Raw genomic sequence first — 22,583 nt, forward strand, 5'->3', positions numbered from 1 at the left:
ATTGTGGTATCAGCCTCAGAGAGTTAGAACAGTGCCTGACACATGATACATCTTTGACTACTGGTAGTTTTTATTAGTTTTATTTTATTTTATTTTATTTTATTTTATTTTTTGAGACAAAGTCTCACTCTGTTGCCCAGGCTGGTGTGCAGTGGTGTGATCTCAGCTCACTGCAACCTCCGCCTCCCAGGTTCAAGTGATTCTCCTGCCTCAGCCTCCCTAGTAGTTGGGATCACAGGTGTGCGCCACTGCGCCCAGCTAATTTTTGTATTTTTAGTAGAGACAGGGTTTCACCATGTTGGCCATGCTGGTCGTAGCTTTTATTTCTAAGTGCTGATCTTCCTTTGGGAAAGGGTCTCCTGTACCTGACAACAATAGGAAGTCCCCTGATAAATCACCTTAGGCAGGAAGCATGAGGTTCAGCAGTAGGTTGTATATTTTGCCTCTCACTGCCAGGCTGTGTGCGTTTCTATTTGACAATTGCCGGTCTTTGTTATGCATTTTATCTCATGATTTTAACATTTATTGGTGCAAATATTCAATGTTTACTTTATATTAAGCATATGAATCAAATTTTGATCATTTCTTACAGCAATTAATTCAACTCTGAGATCATTTTTTTTCTGTCTGCTTCAACTTAAACAGTATCACATAAGGATGCTCTATTGGCATCCTGACAAAAACAGAACAATTTAAATAACATGCAGTGGTCAGACAAGTTTGGGAAATGCTGCCTGAGGTTGTATTTTCATCACATATGACCCCTTTGAGCAAGTCTGCTTCAGACGCAGACACAGCACCAGCCAACGTGGCCTTCCAAAACACCACCATCCGTTATAATGAAAATTTGATGGGTCTAAGCCATAGGCATTTTTTTTTTCCCCGTGGGTAACAGGTCTGCCCACCTGTTCTCAGCTTTAAAGCAATGCCTATGTGTTTATCATTCATCCATTCAGGACTTATTTACTGAGTGCCCCTTGTGTGCCAGGCACCACGTTACACACTGGTGACATGGAGTTTTGCCTTCCATTATTCAGAGCTGCGCTGTCCAGTATGGTAGCCGTAAGCCACATATGGCTGTTAAGGACTGAGATGTGGCCGGTCTGAAGTGAGGCATGCCGTGCCTGTTAAATACACGCTGGACCTCAGAGGCTGGGCATGAAAAGGAATGCAAAATATCTGTTAAATAATGCGTATATATAATATATTAGAAACATATAATAATTTAAGTAATTAATGTTGGTTACATGTTGAAATAATATTTGGGGTATATTGGGCTAAATTTAATGTATTATTAGAATTAATTTCACTTTCTTTTTACTTAAACTAATTAATTGTTTATTTCTTAACTAATTAATTATTTATTTATTTTTGAGACAGGGTCTCACTCTGTCACCCAGGCTGGAGTGCGGTGGCACGATCACAGCTCACTGCAGCCTCCAATTCCTGGGCTCAAGCAATCCTCCTACCTCAGCCTCTTGAGTAGCTGGGACTAGAGGTGTGCACCATCATGCCCAGCTAATTTTTTAATATTTTATAGAGACAGGATCTCACTTTATTGCCCAGACTGGCCTTGAACTCCTGGCTTCAAGTGATTCCCTGCCCTGTAATCTCCCAAAGTGCTGGGACTACAGGTGTAAGCCACTGCACCTGGCCTCTTTTTTACTTTTTAATGTAGCTACTGAAAAATTTTAGATTATACACCTGGCTCACATTCTGTTTCTGTTGCACAGTGCTGGCCTAGAAGGTTCACAGACATGTAATTAATTCAATCCAGCACAACAAGGGAAATCCTATAATTTTCCAGATCTCCTCACCACCCCTCTGCCCCACTGCTGGGGCCTGACATGAGGAGGCCTCCCCAGAGGTGGCACGGAGAGATCAGCCAAGGTCCTAGCTGGATGGAGAGGCACGAGACCCTTACTGAAGTCGGGGTCAGGAGTCTGAAGTTGGAATCCAGGGAATTGGGAGTGAACACAAACACACTGGGAGCAGATGGTAGTGTGTGGCTGTAGAAGTCAGCTGTCGCTGGGTGACAAACAATCACAGATCCTCAGGGACATACCACAATATGCATTTGTTTCTCTCGCACACCTCTGCAGGTTGGCGGGGGTTCAGCTGATGTAAGCAGGACTTGGCTGGGTTTGGCTTCTCTCTGAGGACTGGGCTCAGATCTACTCGAAGGGTGTTCATCCCAGGGTCCAGGCTAAAGGGGCAGCAAGTTATTATTTAAAAGTCAAAAGATAACAGATGCTGGCAAAGTTGCAGAGAAAAGGAATGCTTATTTACTGCTGGTGGGGATGTGCATTAGTTCAGCCATTGTAGAAAACGGTTTGGTGATTTCCCAAAGTACTTAAAACAGAATTACCATTTGACCCAGCAATCCTATTACTGAGTATATACCCAAAGGAATGTAAATTGTTCTGCTATAAAGACACATGCACGTGTACGTTCATTGCAACACTATACACAAGAGCAAAGACATGGAATCAACCTAAATGCCCATTAACAGTGGACTGGATAAAGAAAATGTGGTACATGTACACCATAGACTACTATGCAGCCATGAAAAAGAATGTGATCCTGTCCTTTGCAGCAACATGATTGCAACTGGAGGTCATTATCCTAAGTGAACTAGTGCAGGAACAGAAAACCAAATGCTACATGTTCTCACTTATAAGTAGGAGCTAACACTGACTACATACGGACACAAAGAAGGGAACAACAGATACCAGGGCCTACTTGGGGGTGGAGGGTGGGAGGAGGGTGAGGATTGAAAACCTACCTATCGAGTATTGTGCCTAGTACCTGGGTGGTAAAATAATCTGTACACCAAACCCCTGCAACGTGTAGTTTACCTACATAACAGACCTGCACCTGTACCCCAAACTTAACATAAAAGTTAAAAAATAAAATAAAATTTTAAAAAGGGGCAGCAAGTACCTGGGAGAAGCTCTCCGCATGATGCCAGAGGTGCAAGGGGTGTGGCTCACTTGTGCAAGTGCTTTTCAAATTCAGCTCAATGATCTCTGCTAACATCCCATTAACCAAAGCAAGTCATGGGGCTGGGACCAAAATGCAACAGCAGGGAAGCAAACTCTGCCCACCGTGAGGCCAAAGCGGTCACATGGGCAAGTCCTGCATCTGCTGGATAGGGAAAAATATTCCTCCCCTGGGACTGGAGGTCAGGAGGGAGTGAATATTTGCTGAATAATCATCTACACTATCAATGGGGTGGGGACATGACTGGAGGTGGGATAAGGCAGATCTTTTCTGAATGCTTGTTCTGAAGGCAGGGGAAAACTCATGGCCCATGAGTGAGCCCATCATTCACCGTTCACTCTGGATGCTTCTGAGGGTCGAGGGGCCTAGGAAAAATTACACGGGAACAACAGGGATAATCCAGAGTTGTCTCGGGTACACGAGGACATATGGTCACCCTAGCTACAGGCCGAATTCCCAACACTGTTTTGTTTCACTGTCATAGCACTTTCTTTTAGTTTTTCTTCTTTTTTAAACAAAAATAAATGTGAATATTCTCCAGGGAGGCGTATGTTTTCATGCTCAACACAGGCCCAGGCATTCTCTTAGGTCCTACACATACTTGCATCACCTGCTTGGCCTCTCAAAGCGTTGGAGCTATGGCTCCCGGATGTAACATCTGCAGTTGGCTTTTAGTGGTCAGAGGCCACATGAGTGGTGTATTTGACTCATAGAACTGCTGTAACAAATTGCCACACATCTGGTGGCTTAACACAACAGAAATTTGTTCTCTTACAGTAATGGAGGCCAAAAGTCTGAAATCAAGGTGTCAGCAGTGCTGGTTCTTTAAGGCAGGGGTCCCCAGCCCTCAGGCCATGGGCCAGTGCCTGTCCATGGCCTGTCAGGAATTGGGTGGCCCAGCAGGAGGTGAGCAGCAGGTTAGTGAGGGAAGTTTCATCTGTAGGTACAGCCACTCCCCATAGCTTGCATTACTGCCTAAACTCCACCTCCTATCAGATCAGTGGTGGCATTAGATTCTTATAGGAGTGCGGACTCTGTTGTGATCTGTGCATTTGAGGGATCTAGGTTGCACATTCCTTATGAGAATCTAGTGCCTGATGACCTGTCACTGTTTTCCATCACCCCCAGATGGGACCATCTAGTTGCAAGAGAACAAGCTCAGGGCTCCCCCTGATTCTACATGATGGTGAGTTGTATAATTATTTTATTTTATATTACAATGGAACTAAAGTGCCCAATAAATGGAATGTGCTTGAATCATCCCAAAACTATCCCCCCACCCAGTCTGTGAAAAAATTGTCTTCCATGAAACCAGTCCCTGGTGCCAAAAATGTGGGGGACTGCTGCTTTAAGGGGTCTGTGGGAGAGTCTGCCCCATGCCTCCCTCCTGGCTTCTAGTGGCTGCCAGGAGTCCTCGGTGTTCCTGCCTCGTGCTGTGTCGCTCCCACCTCTACCTCCATCTTCACATGGCCTTCTCCGTGGGCCTTCCTGGGTCTCTGTGTTACATCTCCCTCTCCTTTCTCTTACAAGGGCACAAGTCCTAGATCCAGGATGATCTCATCTTGAGATGCTCAAGTTAATTACATCTGCAAAGACCCTATTTCCAAATTTGGTCACAGTCACTGGTACCAGGAGTCAGGATTTGGATATATCTTTTAGGGAGACACAATTCAATGCATGCAGGTGGACTGCTGAGTGGGCCATGGAGAAGAAAGTGTGCGTGGGCAGGTGCAGGGCACGATGGTGGCAGAGAGCGAGCAGGCTGCCACCTTTTCTGGGAAGGAGGCTGGCGGGGGGTGTTCTGCAGGGAAGCATGCCCTTGAGGGGGGTCTTGAAGGTGGCGTAGAGCGTGGGGGACATGGAGAGGACACCCGAGGCAGAGGAAATGAAATAAGCAAACCACAGACCTGTCCAACAGCCTGGGGGCAGCTTCGGGGGTCCTAACTCACCGGCTTTGAGGTGGCTGGAGTATACACAGGGTGTGGAAGGGGGAGAGGGAAGGCCAAGGAATGAGGCAGGGAGTTTGGATACCACATCGTGGTGTTTCACAGAGGAAATGCCTAATCGCTCATTTTCTTCGCTTTATATTTGAGATCCTGGGTGGGGAGTGTCAGAGACCAGCTAGTTGTTCATTTTTCATCCTGGGCACATAAGTGAACTACAAGTCCCAGGCTTCCTTGCAGTTAGGTGCCGCCATATGACTGAGTTCAATGGAATGTGGGAGAGATGAGGTATGCCCCTTCTAGACAAGGTCTTGGAAACCTCCCTGTTATTCTCCACACTCCCTTGTCCTTCATCTGCCTGCTGGACGCAGATGGGACAGTGTGGGACCCTGACCCCCAGATGGAGGAGGCCTGGCTGGTGGGATCACTGCATGGAGCAGAACACCCTCACCCACCCATGCTGGGCTGTGTTGTGTTATTTATTTCTTATTTAAAAAAAACTGTAGAGACTGGGTCTCACTATGTTACTCAGACTGGTCTGGGCTCCAGCGGTCCTCCCACCTTGGCCTCCTAAAGTGCGGAATTACAGGTGTGAGCCACTGCGAGAGGCCTACACTGTGTGTTATTGAGGGAAGCCACTGAGAGGTGGGAGTTTATCACAGCAGTGGTCTACTTTGACCTTAACAACCACTTCCCTGCTGCCAGAGCAAAGAATCCTCTGCAAACAACTGAGCCACATTAGGCAAAGGGCTCTGTGGGGGAGTGGAATGGGGCCAGATGGAGGCCTGGGCAGGGATAGGCTCAAGTGGCTCAGAGGAGGTAGTCCATCTGCCCCACAGGGGGTTGGGGGAGGTGGCCTGAGAAGATTAAATCCCACGGGACCAGCCAGGGCAGGCGTGCCTCCTAAGCAGATGCAGAGCAGATGGATGTGGAGCCAAGGATTGGGAATTCCAGCTGGAAGTCTCTACATGGGGCCCAGAGTCCTCAGCAGCCAGGGGGAGCAGCTGCTGCAGGAGTGGGAGCGAAAGCAAGGGTTGGAGGTGAAGGTCAGGCACTCGGCCTTTGTCCAGATCAAAGCAGGCGCAGGCTGGAATCGGGGGAGATGTCAGGGTCCCCCCGTACAGCCAAACCCCCTGGAGGTCTCTGCATGCTGCTTGGCAAGGATGGGCATGAAATGAGAAGGCATATGCCAGGGTGCCCTAACAAAACAGGCTGAAACCAGGATGCCCTGATGGAGGCAGCAGGTGTCATTCATTCATCTACTCATTCATTTATTCATCCACACACATTTTCTCAACACCTACCGTGTGCCCAGCCCTGAGCCAGAGAAGGGGAAGGCATACAGGCCAATGTATCTGCATCAACGTACAGCATGCTCAGAGCTCTGAAGGGAGGAGAGGGGCATAGGGGAGGGTCCAGGATGGCATCTTTCCGGAACCCTGGGGCCCGTGGTTCTGATGGCAGTGTCCACCCTGAAGTCAGCCCCTCCACCCCGAGAGTGAGTCAGAGCAGGCTCACCAGCTAGGAGATGTGCTCTGCTCATTCACCAGTGAAAGCCTCCTTTGTCCCTCCTCCATAGGGAAGGACAATGTCGTGCCCTGGTTTCTTTGTGTTCAGGGGCCAGCAGGCTCTTAGCGAGTGTTAAATGCAATAACACCCACTCATCTTAGCCTCTGCTTTGGTGCCCACTGGTAGCTCAAAAATTCACACACACACACACACACACACACACACACACACACACCCATGGGGTCTGGCAGATGCAATTAGCCTCTGGGTCCCTCAGAATTAGATGCAGGTGGCTAATTGTCCATGCCAGGAGGCAACTGTGGGCACAATTAGTCATGTCTCTTTCCCCACTCAGGGCTAATAATGGGTGGAAATCTGCAGGGGGAGCAGAAATCTGAGGGGGCTCAGGCTCTCCTTGCCTGGGCTGTGATGGGCAGCTCTTGGTGACATTGCTCTTCCCTGGGCCTGGAAAAAGCTGTGGGGTGGGCAAGAAGGGAAGGCGGAGGGGGCAGCTCTTCTGGGGATCTGGGCTGTGGTGCCCCTCCATCCCCTCCCTGGCCCTGCCAGCACACGGGCTTCTGCGCATCCGAATTTATTAATAATGCCAACCCCTTGCGTGCATGTAGCTTATTAGAATCTCAAAGCCCTTTTGCATACATTATTGCATTGCACAGCCACATGACAAGGAGGCAGGTGTAGTTATCACATCCCATTTTACAGATAAGAAAATGGAGGTTCTACTTGCAGAGCCTGTATTAGAATGCAGGCCTGGCCAGGTGCGGTGGCTCACACTTGTCATCCCAGCAGTCTGGGAGGCCGAGGCAGGCAGATCGCCTGAGGTCAGGAGTTCGAGATCAGCCTGGCCAACATGGTGAAACCCCCATCTCTACTAAAAATACAAAAATTAGCTGGGCATGGTGGTGCGCGCCTGTAACCCCAGCTACTCAGGAGGCTGAGGCAGGAGAATCACTTGAACCTGGGAGGTGGAGGTTGCAGTGAGCCAAGATGGCGCCACTGCACTCCAACCTGGGCAACGGAGTGAGACTCCGTCTCCAAAAAAATAAATAAACAAATAAAATAAAATAAAATAAATAGAATGCAGGCCTGCCTGACGCCAAGCCTGTGTGCTGCTTTTTTGCCACATCATGCTGCTTTTTGTCCCTCCTGCCCTTACTTTCTAGTGGGGGCAGAGAGATGGCTCCCCAGAAACTGAATGATAGCTTAGGGCAGAGCGGACTTGGGAAAGTCCCGAGGTAAAAGTTGCTTCAGCAAACAAGTTCTGCAGTTGTCCCCTGTTCAAACCCCATCCAAGGTGTGGTGGGGGGTACAGAGAGGAAGTAGCATACTCCCTGCTTATCAGGAGTTTACAGTCCGGTGGAGAGAATCAGCTATGTACATAATATCCATTCTATGAGAGAGAATGTGATAAGGGCTCTGGGTGCTTTCCCGAATCCAGAAACTTGTTGAGTGACTTTGGTGTTGCCTCTCTGGGTCTCGGTTTCCCCAGCTTAAGTTTCCTCAGCAGAGTGTTGAGCCTCATTGATGACTCAGGCTTTGTTCAGTTCTTTCTACCGATTTCCAACACAGTTGTGGATTTCAATAAGGAAGAGATTAATTCTGGTAGGGGGAAGAGGATGGAGGAGGGTGCACAAAGAAGCGGCATCTGAATTGGGCTTGAGAGGGAGACAGGAGAGCAGGGCTGCATCCTAACTTAGGCTGTGGTTATGGTTGTGAGTGGCAAACTTGCTTGTGGTTGCAAGTGGCAGAAACCTAAATTTACGGGCATCGAAGTGAATGTATTGGCTGGCATATCATGGTAGCGGGTCTCCAAAAGTAGCTTCTCGATGACTCATGTCTTCCGTGTATACATGCCCTTGTGTAGCTTCCTCCCCTTGGATCTGGGTTGGCCCTGAGACTTGCTGGTAACACATGGACATGGCTGGTAACCCATGGAAATAACGCTGCTGGCCTCCAAGGCAGAAGTTGAAGCTCTCACCTTGTTCCCTCGGAACACTCACTCTAGGGGAAGCCAGACACTAAGTAGGAAGTCCGGCTCTCCCGAGACCTCCGTTCTATGAGGAAGTCCACACCAGCCATGTGGGAGGCTGCATGGAGAGAGATGCCTGGCCGGTCCCCAGCTCATCCAGCTTGATTGGCATCTGAACACAATAGTGTCAACAACCCTGAGCAAGACCATCTAGTTGAGCTCATCAACCCACAGAACCATGCAGATAACGATAAATGACTGTTCTACACCACTGTATTTTGAGATGGATCGTTTGCAGAATCAGAATACATATATAATGTAACAGTCCAGGGAGATTTAGTTTCAGGCATTGCTGGATCCAGGAGCTCAAAGAATATCACTGGGTCTTGTTTTTCCCTGTCTCATGTCTTGCTCTCTCGTGCTGGCTTCTTTTCTAAACCACCTGGCTATCCCCCAGAACTCCCAGACTGGTTTCACCCCTGCTTCCAGCAATGCCAGTGAACAAACCTACTGTTGCTCACTACTTTCAACAAAAGTCCTGGAAATCCACCTCATTGGCTGATAACAGGCTCTTTTTTGAAACATTCCTGATGTGGCCAGAAGGGAGGGGTATGGAAGGAACATTCTCTACCCCTCCAAGATGGAACGGGCATGAGCTCTGCCCACATCAAGTCCTGAGCATGGGGGAAGACATCTCTTAAGAAGATCTCTAGGCCGGATGCGGTGGCTCATGCCTGTAATCCCAGCATTTTGGGAGGCCAAGGCGGGCAGATCATGAGGTCAAGAGATCGAGACCATCCTGGCCAACATGGTGAAACCCCATCTTTACGAAAAATACAAAAATTAGCTGGGTGTGGTGGCGTGCACCTGTAGTCCCAGCTATTCAGGAGGTTGAGGCAGGAGAATCACTTGAACCTGGGAGGCGGAGGTTGCAGTGAGCCAAGATTGTGCTATTGCACTCCAGCCTGGTGACAGAGCGAGATTCTGTCAAAAAAAAAAAAAAAAATATATATATATATATATGGGAAATATCTATTCTGAGGGGAAATGGACCCTGGATAGACACAAATAGACATCCGTTTCTGTGACCTTGTATAAGACACATAACTTTCCTAAAGCTTGTCCTGCCCAACTCATTGTAAGACTCAGGTCTGAAAACAGCAAGAAGCCTGGGAAAGCTGTCACAGAAGCAGTGTCTACCTGGGAGTGGGGGACTGTTTGCATCAGTAGCCATCTGGAGAGGGCTCAAAACTGAGCAGGACAAGGTGTGACTGCCCCAAACCCAAATCCTTTTCATAGAGAGGAAGGGAACTAGAACCCAAGGTTTCTGATCAGAAGGCAAAACAGAGTGGCCTCTCAACAGGAGGCACGTATCCTGTGTGTTCTGGAGTCACGCATTTCTGTACATTAGCAGAGTTTATGTCATCTGAGAATTCCCAGGAATGAAGGTCTCACATTGAAGTGAGTGGGAAGAGACTTCCTCAAAAACAAAAGCACATCCCGCTGAGGCAGGACAGAGATATCTTTGCTGGAAGGAGGAGGTTTCCCCTGAACCTGCAGAGGGATCAGAGACACTGCACAGGGGGCTCAATCTAGAATGATCAATTATACTGGAAGGCATATTGTTTTTTCTTTATTTATTATTCTCCAAAGGCTTTGAACATATCTAAAAAAAGGAGACTTTTATATTAGTCAAGGACACAGGGCAAAGCCACAAAGCAATATCAAAAATAAGGGCGACTACATGCTGGGGGTCAGAAAACCAGCACTCTTTCCACGATGAAAGCAACTTGGTTCTTGAGATTCCAGTTATTCCAGTCTGGAGTGCAGTGTAAGTGGTATGAATTCCCTCATCCATGTGATAATGCCTCCTTCGATGTATTCATTCATTCACCTGGGCATCCACCCCTTAATCTGTTCACTTAGTCAACCATCCAACAGGTCGTACCCACACCAATGTCAGTTAGGGCAAAGCTGCTATGCCTGCTAGAGGCTAGGAGAGAAATTCTCAGGGTAGAGAAATGGTTAAAATAAATCAAAATAAAATCTGAGTTGGCCGTGGTGCTTATTCTTAATGACACACAGGAAACTATAAACCAGCCATGCTACATAATTGACCACTGAGGATTTTTCACTCTCAGTCAGTTTGAGATGTACCGAATCCAATATCACATCAGTGATTTGATTTGTTAATAATCAAATTGCAAATACCTTTTCATTTGGCTTCAAAAAGCAAACAGCCATTCGGAATAATTTTTATGGGTCTTGGAATGCAATATAAACTTAAAATATTGTGTTTGCAAGTCCTATTGGCATGACCGTATTATAATTTATATTGGCCTATTTTGATGTACAGTGGCATAATGAAACTTTAAAAAATATATTTTGCAAAGCTGCATCTAAGCCCAAGCCGGCAGCACAGATTAATGTAAGAACAGCATGGGGATTCTTTGCATATTTTTTTTTTACGGAGATTTCTAGAGAACATTCTACTCACCAAAACTTTAACCTAAGCAAGATTTGCAAAGATTTTCAGAATCCGTCTCTTGTCACATTTCCAGGCACACTGCCTGATGCCTTTCTTCCTGCCTCACTCTTCCCCATCTCATACATCCCCTGTCCTGCCCTCCTATTTGCAATTTTATGAAGCTTTTGTGTGTATACATGTTTGCATTCTGTTTCTATTCCCTCCATCTATAATGCCCTTCTTCCCGTCTCTGCTTGGAGGATATCTCTTAGACATTCTTCAGCTCCTGGCTAACATGCTATCCCTGCTGGGAACCTTCTCTGACACCCCCAGAAGTTATTACTTCCATTCTTCCACAGCAGTTGAAAAGGAACTCTGTTACAGCTCTTGTCATAATGTGTTACTGTTATTTGTTTACATGCACAAACTCTGAAGTCCTTGACAGCCTGACCATGATATATTCAATTCAAAAACCCCAGTGCCTACCACCATGCCTGGTGCATAATACATGCTCTGTAAATGTTTGTGTAATGGTGCTGTGGATGAATGAGTGGGTAGATGGATGGATAAATGGAAAGATGGATGGAAGGATGAGGAGGTAGCGAATGAATGAATGGGTGCAAGGAAGGATGGGTGGGCTGTTGGACAGATAGGTGGATGGATGGATGGCTGGGTGGGTGGATGAATGATGGGTTGGTGGATAGATTGACAGAACAGATCCTCCTGGAGGATAATGCTTTCCCTGACATTGGAAGCATTTAAGCACAGGTTATAGAGAGACTTCAGGACCTAAATGTGTTGTTAGACAAATTAATCTATTAGATGTTTCCAACAAAAAAAGCCCTTGATTCCACCATGTTCCTGTAGAGCTACGCTTCAGCACAGAATTGCAGTAGAGGCTTACTTTACTTTTAAAGCCTGTTTTTTGTTTGTTTGCTTTTTGTTTTTTGGAGACAGGGTCTTCCTCTTCTGCTCAGGCTGGAGTGCAATGGCACAGTCATAGCTCACTGGATCCTTGAACTCCTGGGCTCAAGTGATCCTCCCACTTCAGCCTCCTGAGTAGCTGAGACTACAGGTGTGCAGCAACAAGCCTGGCCAGTTTTATTTTATTTTATTTTTGTAGAGTCGGGGTCTCACTGTGTTGCCTGGGCTGGTCTTTAACTCCTGGCCTCAAGCAATCCTCCTGCCTCAGCCTCCCAAAGCACTGGGATTACAGGCATGAGCCACGGCGCCCAGCGAAGCCTATTTTTCGAAAAGGGTCAGGGAAGGCCTCATTAACAAGATAACATTAAAACAGAGGCCTGGGGGAAGAACAGCCAGGCCTAGGGAACAGCAAGAGCTGAGCCTGCCTGCAATGTCCAGTAACTGCTAGGAGTGTGGCTGGAACAGAGGGAAAGATTTGAGATCTGACACTTTACGGCTTCTTTTGTGCCTTGCTGAGGGAGGTCTTGCTCACTTGGCATTCTAGAGACTGTTCCCCTATCTTTTAGTCATACACTTTTATAGTTTAGAATTTTACTCTTAGCTGTTTGATTTAACTAGAATCTATTATTGTATATGGTGTGAGGTAAAGTTCTAAAATTATTTCTAAATGGAGGGCCAATTATCTCAAGGTTATTTCTCGAATAGTCTGTGCTCTCCACTAATGTAAGATGCCATCTTTACCACCAACAAAATTGTCATTTATCCAACAGTTCTTTTTTGTATTCTCTCTTATTTCATTGATCTATTTGTCTGTTTCTGTGTCTGTTTCTAGTACTTAAGCTACTAGAACATGTAAGATGTTTGACATTTTTATTCTTCTTGGACTCAAACAGATGGACTTGAAAATCACTTTATCAAGTTCTATAAACTTTTTATTGGGAATACATAACATTTAAAAGTGAATTTGAGGAATACTGACATCTTTATAGCAGAGTACACCATCTACAAATAGTATGCTCTTGATTTTTTTAAAGCTGTCTTATATCATTGAGAAAAGCTTATAGTTTTTTTAAAAAATAGAATGTGCACATTTTTTGTAAAGTTTATTTCTACATATTTGTACTGACAAATGTTATTTTTTTTTTGTGAACAGGATTTTTTTCCTATTATATTTTCCAATTGGTCATTGTGTATAGAAAACCTATTATCAGGATAAATAGCTAATGCATGCGAGGCTTAATATTTAGGTGATGAGTTGATAGGTGCAGCAAACCTCTATGGCACAGGTTTACTTATGTAACAAACCTGCGCATCCTGCACATGTATTCCAGAACTTAAAATTTTTAAAAAAAGTAATAAAAAAGAAAACCTATTATATATATTCCAGAAACTTATTGAAATCTCTTATTCTTTCTAGTGCTTCTTCAGTTAGAAAGCAAATGATCATATTGCCTGCACAAAATGGGAACGTAAATTTCTTGCTTTCTTATATTTATTATTTTATCCCTCTTCTCACCTAATTGCTTTGACTAGTACCTCCAGCAAAATGTCGTATAATAAAGATGATAGCAGGTATCCTTTTCTTGTTCCTGACTTTAATAGGGAGGCTTCTAATGATTCATCGTTGGAAATTATGTTTGTGGGGTTTTAGGGCATAGGCTAAATGGTACAAGAAGACTCCAAAATACTATGGCTTAAATAAGATAGAAGCTAACTGATCTCTTACATAAGAGTTCACAGTGATAGTCCCGGGTAGGCAGCACAGGGCTGGTTCTGCTATTCTCCTCAGGTAGCTTCCAAACATGATCAGTCATTGCTGTTTTCCAGCTAGCGGGAGATAGGAGAGGGATGTCGAGCTTCCTCTTTAAAGCAGTAACAAGGCAAATTATAGGTATGCCTTCTATTCACATCCCATTGGCTGAAATTAATCACCTGACCACTCTCAATGGCAAAGGAGCCTGGGAAATGTAGTCTGTAACTTAGTGACCACATACCCACCTAAAGCTATAGTTCTAAACTACAACTAAAGCTAGGGTTTAGGAACCATTACAAAAGGGAGGAAGTGAGAATTGATGATGGGGGGGCTACAGCAATCAATGCCACAATGTTCTTTATCAACATAAGGAAATTTCCTCCTATTTCCAGGTAATAAAAAGTTTTTTTTTAATTTAAATCTGGGATTAGTTATTTTATTTTACCAGATTATTTTTCAACATATTTTGAGATGACCATATGATTTTCTCTTGTGATCTGTTAATAAAGTGAATTTCCTAATGTTGAACCATATTTGCATTTCTGGGATTAGGCTCTACTTGATTAAGTTGTGTGATTTCCATAACAGACCATTGATCATATTTTATTTAGGATTTGCTTCTATGTTTATAAGTGATACGGACCTGTAGTTCTCTTTATCTGTGCATTATTTTTGTTTTTAATATCAGGGTGATGCCAACCTGAAAGGATGGGCTGGGAAGCTTCCTATGCTCTATAAAAGTCAATAGATCTAAAACTATTTTTTAAAGGTTTGGGGGAATTTGTTCTTAAAACGATCTGGCATGGTGATTTTTTTTTTAAAGAGATAGATCTTTGATTACTGCGGCAGAGACTCCTAATTGTCCACAACCTTGGTTCTCTCCTTTTTCTAAGATAAGAGAACCCTTGACTTGTAGCTGAGTGAAATGCCTAGAAGGAGACACTTTCCTGGCTTCTCTGTGGCTAGAGGTGGCCAAGTTTCAAAACCCAGGCTGTGAAAAGTTTCAGATTTTCCGTTGTGAAGACAAGTAATGTTTGTGTGCCACTTCTGGCACAAGCCTTTAAATGTGGAAGTGTTCCCCTTATTTCCTCAATTTGCTGCTTTGAAAGGGGACTGAGAGGTGGGTCAGGTAGCAAGTTAGGGTGGCAAATCCAGAAGGCAGAAGGAGCCTGGGTTCTTAGTGCCATGAAGCTGCCATGCCAGCTCCTAGACAGGTGAGTGGACGTTTCTCTTTTCTTTGAGCCACTTATTTTGTGTTTTTGCTATAACTGCTAAGCCTACATTTAATTCATATAAGCCAGGGGTCCCCAGCCCCTGTGGTGGAAGGAGACAGAAGGAGGAAGGAGTGGCAGGCAAGCAAGTGAAGCTTCATCTGAATTTACAGTCACTCCTCATTGCTCGCATTGCCGCCTGAGCTCTGCCTCCTGTCAGATCGGTGGCTGCATCAGATTCTCATAGGAGCGCGGACCCTATTGAGAACTGTGCATGCAAGGGATCCCTGTGGAGGGAGCCACAGGCAAGCACCAGAGGGCAATCACAAGGAGCTGAGGGGACCCCCAGGTGATCGCCAAGAAGAACTTACAGTCCCAAGGAACCGAATTCTGCCAATAGCAGGAATTGCTTGGAAGAGGACACCAAGCTGCAGGTGAGAAAGCAGCCAGCCAACACCCTCAGTGTAGCCTTGTGAAGTCCTGAGCAGAGTCCCGCGATGTCATCATGACACCTGACCTTCTGAACTAAGATAATAAATGGATGTTGTTTTAGGTAGCAGTCCCCAACTTTTTTGGCACCAGGGACCAGTTTCAGGGAAGACAATTTTTTTTTTTTTCACGAACCAGGGGTTGGTGGGGGATGGTTTTGGGATGATTCAAGCCCTTTACATTTATTGTGCACTTTATTTATTTTATTTTATTTTTATTTTTTATTATACTTTAAGTTTTAGGGTACATGTGCACAACGTGCAGGTTTGTTACATATGTATACATGTGCCATGCTGGTGTGCTGCACCCATTAACTTGTCATTTAGCATTAGGTATATCTTCTAATACTATCCCTCCCCCCTCCCCCTACCCCACAACAGGCCCTGGTGTGTGATGTTCCCCTTCCTGTGTCCATGTGTTGTCATTGTTCAATTCCCACCTGTGAGTGAGAACATGCGGTGTTTGGTTTTTTGTCCTTGCGATAGTTTGCTGAGAATGATGGTTTCCAGCTTCATCCATGTCCCTACAAAGGACATGAACTCATCATTTTTTATGGCTGCATAGTATTCCATGGTGTATATGTGCCACATTTTCTTAATCCAGTCTGTCATTGTTGGACATTTGGGTTGGTTCCAAGTCTTTGCTATTGTGAATAGTGCCGCAGTAAACATACGTGTGCATGTGTCTTTATAGCAGCATGATTTATAATCCTTTGGGTATATACCCAGTAATGGGATGGCTGGGTCAAATGGTATTTCTAGTTCTAGATCCCTGAGGAATCGCCACACTGATTTCCACAATGGCTGAACTAGTTTACAGTCCCACCAACAGTGTAAAAGTGTTCCTATTTCTCCACATCCTCTCCAGCACCTGTTGTTCCCTGACTTTTTAATGATCGCCATTCTAACTGGTGTGAGATGGTATCTCATTGTGGTTTTGATTTGCATTTCTCTGATGGCCAGTGATGATGAGCATTTTTTCATGTGTCTGTTGGCTGCATAAATGTCTTCTTTTGAGAAGTGTCTGTTCATATCCTTTGCCCACTTGTTGATGGGGTTGTTTGTTTTTTTTCTTGTAAATTTGTTTGAGTTCATTGTAGATTCTGGATATTAGCCCTTTGTCAGATGAGTAGACTGCAAAAATTTTCTCCCATTCTGTGGGTTGCCTGTTCACTCTGATGGTAGTTTCTTGTGCTGTGGAGAAGCTCTTTAGTTTAATTAGATCCCATTTGTCAATTTTGGCTTTTGTCACCATTGCCTTTGGTGTTTTAGACATGAAGTCCTTGCCCATGCCTATGTTCTGAATGGTATTGCCTAGGTTTTCTTCTAGGGTTTTTATGGTTTTAGGCTTAACATTTAAGTCGTTAATCCATCTTGAATTAATTTTTGTATAAGGTGTAAGGAAGGGATCCAGTTTCAGCTTTCTACATATGGCTAGCCAGTTTTCCCAGTACCATTTATTAAATAGGGAATCCTTTCCCCGTTTCTTGTTTTTGTCAGGTTTGTCAAAGATCAGATGGTTGTAGATGTGTGGTATTATTTCTGAGGGCTCTGTTCTGTTCCATTGCTGTATATCTCTGTTTTGGTACCAGTACCATGCTGTTTTGGTTACTGTAGCCTTGTAGTATAGTTTGAAGTCAGGTAGCGTCATGCCTCCAGCTTTGTTCTTTTGGCTTAGGATTGACTTGGCAGTGCAGGCTCTTTTTTGGTTCCATATGAACTTTAAAGTAGTTTTTTCCAATTCTGTGAAGAAAGTCATTGGTAGCTTGATGGGGATGGCATTGAATCTGTAAGTTACCTTGGGCAGTATGGCCATTTTCATGATATTGATTCTTCCTACCCATGAGCATGGAATGTTCTTCCATTTGTTTGTATCCTCTTTCATTTCATTGAGCAGTGGTTTGTAGTTCTCCTTGAAGAGGTCCTTCACATCCCTTGTAAGTTGGATTCCTAGGTATTTTATTCTCTTTGAAGCAATTGTGAATGGGAGTTCACTCATGATTTGGCTCTCTGTTTGTCTGTTATTGGTGTATAAGAATGCTTGTGATTTTTGCACATTGATTTTGTATCCTGAGACTTTGCTGAAGTTGCTTATCAGCTTAAGGAGACTTTGGACTGAGACAATGGGGTTTTCTAGAAATACAATCATGTCATCTGCAAGCAGGGACAATTTGACTTCCTCTTTTCCTAATTGAATACCCTTTATTCCCTTCTCCTGCCTGATTGCCCTGGCCAGAACTTCCAACACTACGTTGAATAGGAGTGGTGAGAGAGGGCATCCCTGTCTTGTGCCAGTTTTCAAAGGGAATGCTTCCAGTTTTTGCCCATTCAGTATGATATTGGCTGTGGGTTTGTCATAGATGGCTCTTATTATTTTGAGATATGTCCCATCAATACCTAATTTAATGAGAGTTTTTAGCTTGAAGGGTTGTTGAATTTTGTCAAAGGCCTTTTCTGCATCTATTGAGATAATCATGTGGCTTTTGTCATTGGTTCTGTTTATATGCTGGATTACGTTTATTGATTTGTGTATGTTGAACCAGCCTTGCATCCCAGGGATGAAGCCCACTTGATCATGGCGGATAAGCTTTTTGATGTGCTGCTGGATTCGGTTTGCCAGTATTTTATTGAGGATTTTTGCATCGATGTTCATCAGGGATATTGGTCTAAAATTCTCTTTTTTTGTTGTGTCTCTGTCAGGCTTTGGTATCAGGATGATGCTGGCCTTATAAAATGAGTTAGGGAGGATTCCGTCTTTTTCTATTGATTGGAATAGTTTCAGAAGGAATGGAACCAGCTTCTCCTTGTACCTCTGGTAGAATTCAGCTGTGAATTCATCTGGTCCTGGACTTTTTTTTGTTGGTAAGGTATTAATTATTGCCTCAATTTCAGAGCCTGTTATTGGTCTATTCAGAGATTCAACTTCCTGGTTTAGTCTTGGGAGGGTGTATGTGTTGAGGAATTTGTCCATTTCTTCTAGATTTTCTAGTTTATTTGCGTAGAGGTGTTTATAGTATTCTCTGATGGTAGTTTGTATTTCTGTGGGATCAGTGGTGATATCCCCTTTATCATTTTTTATTGTGTCTATTTGATTCTTCTCTCTTTTCTTCTTTATTAGTCTTGCTAGCGGTCTATCAATTTTGTTGATCTTTTCAAAAAACCAGCTCCTGGATTCATTGATTTTTTGAAGGGTTTTTTGTGCACTCTATTGCCCAGGCTGGAGTGCAGTGGCACAATCTAGGCTTACTGCAACCTCTGCCTCCCAGGTTCAAGTGATTCTCCTACCTCAGCCTCCTGAGTGACTAGGATTACAGGCACCTACCACCATCCCGGCTAATTTTTGTAGTTTTAGTAGAGACTGGGTTTCACCATGTTGGCCAGGCTGATCTCGAACTCCTGACCACAGGTGATCTGACCGCCTCGGACTCCCAAAGTGCTGGGATTATAGGCATGAGCCGCCATGACCAGCCATGAAATAAGTGATTTTTATTTTTACCACCATACATTTTGAATTCTTCAAAATTTCTCTATTTCATGTAGAGATAATATTACATGTATTATTTTTATTTTTATGTTTTGTGATTAGGATGGTCCATTTAAAATGCTGGTATTTGACCAATTTTGATTTATGCAAATGGCAATTTCATGTAGTTCAAACTAAAATTTTATTTTCAGAAAAACAAAGCTAATAAGGGATCTAATTAAAAAAGAAATCGACCCTAATATAGTGGGGAATTTGGGGCAAAAAATCGGATAAGAAGCAGCTCTTCTGTTTAGATTGAAAATTGAAGAGGATGTCATGAAGGTCTCAAGTCAATGAAAGAAGCTGAAACAGATGGAAAGCAAGGAGGTAAAGCAGTGAATGGACCTTGGGGACCCACATTTATACATGAAAGCAAGGAGGCACTCCTAGAGAAATGCCCACAGAGGGCACACCAGGAAGGCACACTACAGTTGCAAGAACGAACGGGAAAACAGAGGAAGTGAGGTCAGCTGAAGGGAGATAAAGGGCAGAGCCTCCACAAGCCAGCCTATGAGTGCCCCTCTCCCCTTGCTCTCCTTCCCTTCCTCCTCCCTCCCTTCCTCCCTCCTTCTTTCCTTCCTTCCCAGCCTTGCTTCCCTCCCTTCCATCCGTCCTTTCTTCCATCCCTCCCTCCCTCCCTTCCTCCCTACATCCTTCCTCTCTCTCCCTCCCTCCCTTCCATCCTTCCTCCCTCTCTCCCTTCCATCCTTCCTCCCTCCCTTCTTCCTCCTTCCCTTCCTTCTTCCTTCCTTCCTTCCCTTCCTCCTTCCCTTCTTTCCTTCCATCCTTCCTCCTTCCCTTCCTTCCTTCCTTCCTTCATCCTTCCCTCCCTCCCTGCCTTCCATCCTTCCTCCTTCCTTCCTCCCTCCCTTCCTTCTTTCCTTCCTCCCTCCCTCCCTCGCTTGCTTCCTCTCTCCCTCCCTTCCTTCCTATCTTCATTCCTTCCTTCCTCCCTCCCTCCTTCCTTCTTTCTTCCTTCCTTCCCTCCTTCTTTCTTTCTTTCCTTCCTTCTTCCCTTCCTTCCTCCCTCCCTCACTCCCTCCTTCCTTCTTTCCTTTCTTCCTCCCTCCCTCACTCCCTCCTTCTTTCTTTCCTTCCTTCCTCCCTCCCTCACTCCCTCCTTCCTTCTTTCCTTCCTCCTCCCTTCCTCCCTCCTTCCTTCTTTCCTTACCTCCTTCCTTCTTCCCTCCCCTCTCCCTTCCTTCCTTCCTTCCTTCCTTCCTTCCTTCCTTCCTTCCTTCCTCTGTCCCTCTCTCCCTCCCTCCCTTTCTTCTTTCTTTTTCTCAGGTCATGTTATACAAGACACCATACCACACCCCACGTTGTGACGATAATGCTCACAGCTAGTGAGGAAGGCCATAGAAAGCACACTTCGGTGCCTGCATTGAATGGTACAAGACAGCACCCCCCAGCCTAAAAGCGGGTCAGCCTTGCCAACCCAGGCATGGAGAGGCAGCAGGGAATGAAGTTTCTGGTTAGTTCAGTGATCTGCCTTACCAGATGTATTCATGTGCTAAGGCTGCTGTCACAAAGCACCACAAACTGGGTGACTTAAGCAACAGACGTTCATTCTTTCCCAGTGTTGGAGGCCAGAAGTCCAAGATCAAGGTGTGGGCAGGGTTGTGCCCCCTCTGAAGGCTCTTGGGAGGGATCCATTCCAGGTCTGTCTCTGAGCTTCTGGTAACTCCTTGGCTTGTGGCAGCAGAACTCCCTTCAAATCGTATTCTCCCTGTATGTGTGTCTGTGACCACGTTTCCTCTTTTTATAAGGACACCTGTCATATTGAGGTAGGGCTCACCCTACTCCAGTATGACCTCCTCCTAACCATTACATCTGCTATGACCCTATTTCCAAATAAGGTCATATTCTTAGGAGCTCAGAGTTAGGACTTCAAGGTAGGAATTTAGGGGGATACAATTCCGCCGTGAATATTGGGTAATGTGGAAATCATTCTTATTTATTTCAGAAAAGTGGTTTTTATTTCAGAAAAGTTTCCTAAAACAAATAGTTATATCTCCCTCTACAGCATAGCAAAAAGAGTCTTGGCACTCAATAAGACAGGGACCTACTGTCTTGGGTTGGGGGTGGGGGAGTCTCTACCATCCTGAGGTCCAGGGGCAGGACTGTAGGGGTTGTGTGAGGCAGAGCTGGAGTCCTAGAAGCTGGGGTTTGTCTCTGAGAAGCCCTATGAAGAGCTAAGCCTCTGGAATCTGGCGCATTAACCATCTCACCCAAAGGGGATGTGTGACCTCAGCATGTCACTCGTTAAGCACCTACCTCCCCAGTCACAGCTTCTTACCTCCAAAATACAGGAGACATGCCTCATGGGGTTGTGTGGGGAACTGTGGTAGCCTGAATAATGCCCCCCAAATATATCAGGACCCAATCCCTGGAACCTGTAAATGTTACCTGATTTGGAAAAGTGTCTTTGCAGATGTGATAGAGTTACTGCCTCAAAATGGGCAGATCATCCTGGATTATCTGGCGGGCCCTAAATACTATCACCTATATCCTTATAAGAGAGAGGCAAGAGGAGATGTGACACACACACAAAGGAGAAGGCAATGTGATAATAGAGGCAGAGATTAGAGGGATGCGGCCATAGGCCAAGGGATGTGGGCAGCCACGTGGAAGAGCCACCAGGAGATGCAACAGATTCTCCTCTAGAGCCTTGATTTCAGCACAGTGATGCTGACTTCAGAGGTCTGGCCACTAGAACTGTGAGAGGGTCCCCTTCTGTTTGTTAAAGCCACCCAGTGTATTGTGATTTGTTATAGCAGCCACAGGAATCAACACAGAACTAAGCGAGGCAGCCTCCGTGGAGTGCTGAGGGCCCACCCGTGAATGGTTGCTGTGGATTGCAGACAACCTCAGTGGGGGCTACTGTGCATTCTTGAATGCCTGACAGGGCAATGCTATGTGTTCTTCAGTCCGTATTTTCCAAGTACTGTTCACGAGTCAGCCCCTGTCTCCTGGTGCTTTCAGGCAGCATGACAGGCACAGAAGCAAGGGATCGGAACATTCTGGATGCAGAACACCATAGAAGAGTATGAAGCAGAGGAGTGAAATCTCCAGGTGGGAATGGGAGAGGCCACTCTGGCTGCGGCACCAAGAGGCCAGAAGACCCTCAAGAGGCTGATGGAGGCCAGCAGGGCCACACTCTGGCTGTCATGAGTCTGAGACACTATTGTCTTTGCGGGTCTCTTCCTCTAAGAAAAAATATTAAAAATACTACCTCTCACCCATTGGGATGGCCACTATCAACCAAATCAAACCAAAAAACAGAAGTGAACAGTGCTGATGAAGATGTGGAGAAGTTGGAACCTTTGCCTACCATTGGTAGGAATGTAAAATGGTGTAGCTGATGGGGAAAACAATATGGTGTTTTCTCAAAAAATTAAAAATAGAATTCTCATATGATCCCCAGCAATTCCACTTCTGGGTATATACTCAAAAGAATTGCAAGTAGGGACTCACGGATATTTATATGCCCATGTTCACAGCGGCATTATTGACAATAATCAAAAGATGGAAGCAACCCAAGTGTCCACCTATAGACGACTGGAAAGCAAATGTGGTCCATCCATACAATGGGATATTATCCAGCCTTAAAGAGGAAGATGATTCTGACACGTACTGCAACATGCATGGACCTGGAGTTCATTATGCCGAGTGAAATAAGCCAGGCACAAAAAGACAAATACTACCAGGGCCAGGAGTTCAAGACCAGCCTGAGCAACACAACGAGATCCCTCTCTCTACAAAAAATTTAAAA

General features: G+C 45.1%; 1 long non-coding RNA gene across 1 annotated transcript in view, besides 2 other annotated features; it reads left to right on the forward strand.

Moving 5' to 3' along the window:
- LINC02299 (long intergenic non-protein coding RNA 2299) overlaps window positions 1-22,583 on the forward strand; it is a 49,423-nt gene that overhangs the window by 7,947 nt on the left and 18,893 nt on the right. The window contains exon 3 of the long non-coding RNA NR_146552.1: window positions 4,132-4,189. This is a non-coding gene — a long non-coding RNA (long intergenic non-protein coding RNA 2299). The remainder of the gene's footprint in view (window positions 1-4,131; window positions 4,190-22,583) is intronic.
- Window positions 6,167-6,977: an enhancer, noted in NCBI's record as "H3K27ac-H3K4me1 hESC enhancer chr14:97221641-97222451 (GRCh37/hg19 assembly coordinates)". NCBI's record gives its function as "activates a minimal SCP1, AML or CMV promoter by ChIP-STARR-seq in primed H9 embryonic stem cells {active_cell/tissue: H9 hESC(primed)}" and the evidence as "EXISTENCE:reporter gene assay evidence [ECO:0000049][PMID:30033119]".
- Window positions 13,638-13,687: an enhancer, noted in NCBI's record as "active region_8992". NCBI's record gives its function as "activates an Ori minimal core promoter by ATAC-STARR-seq in GM12878 lymphoblastoid cells {active_cell/tissue: GM12878}" and the evidence as "EXISTENCE:reporter gene assay evidence [ECO:0000049][PMID:35858748]".

The sequence above is a fragment of the Homo sapiens genome, chromosome 14 (genome assembly GCF_000001405.40).
Source record: "Homo sapiens chromosome 14, GRCh38.p14 Primary Assembly".
NCBI classification, from domain to species: domain Eukaryota; kingdom Metazoa; phylum Chordata; class Mammalia; order Primates; family Hominidae; genus Homo; species Homo sapiens.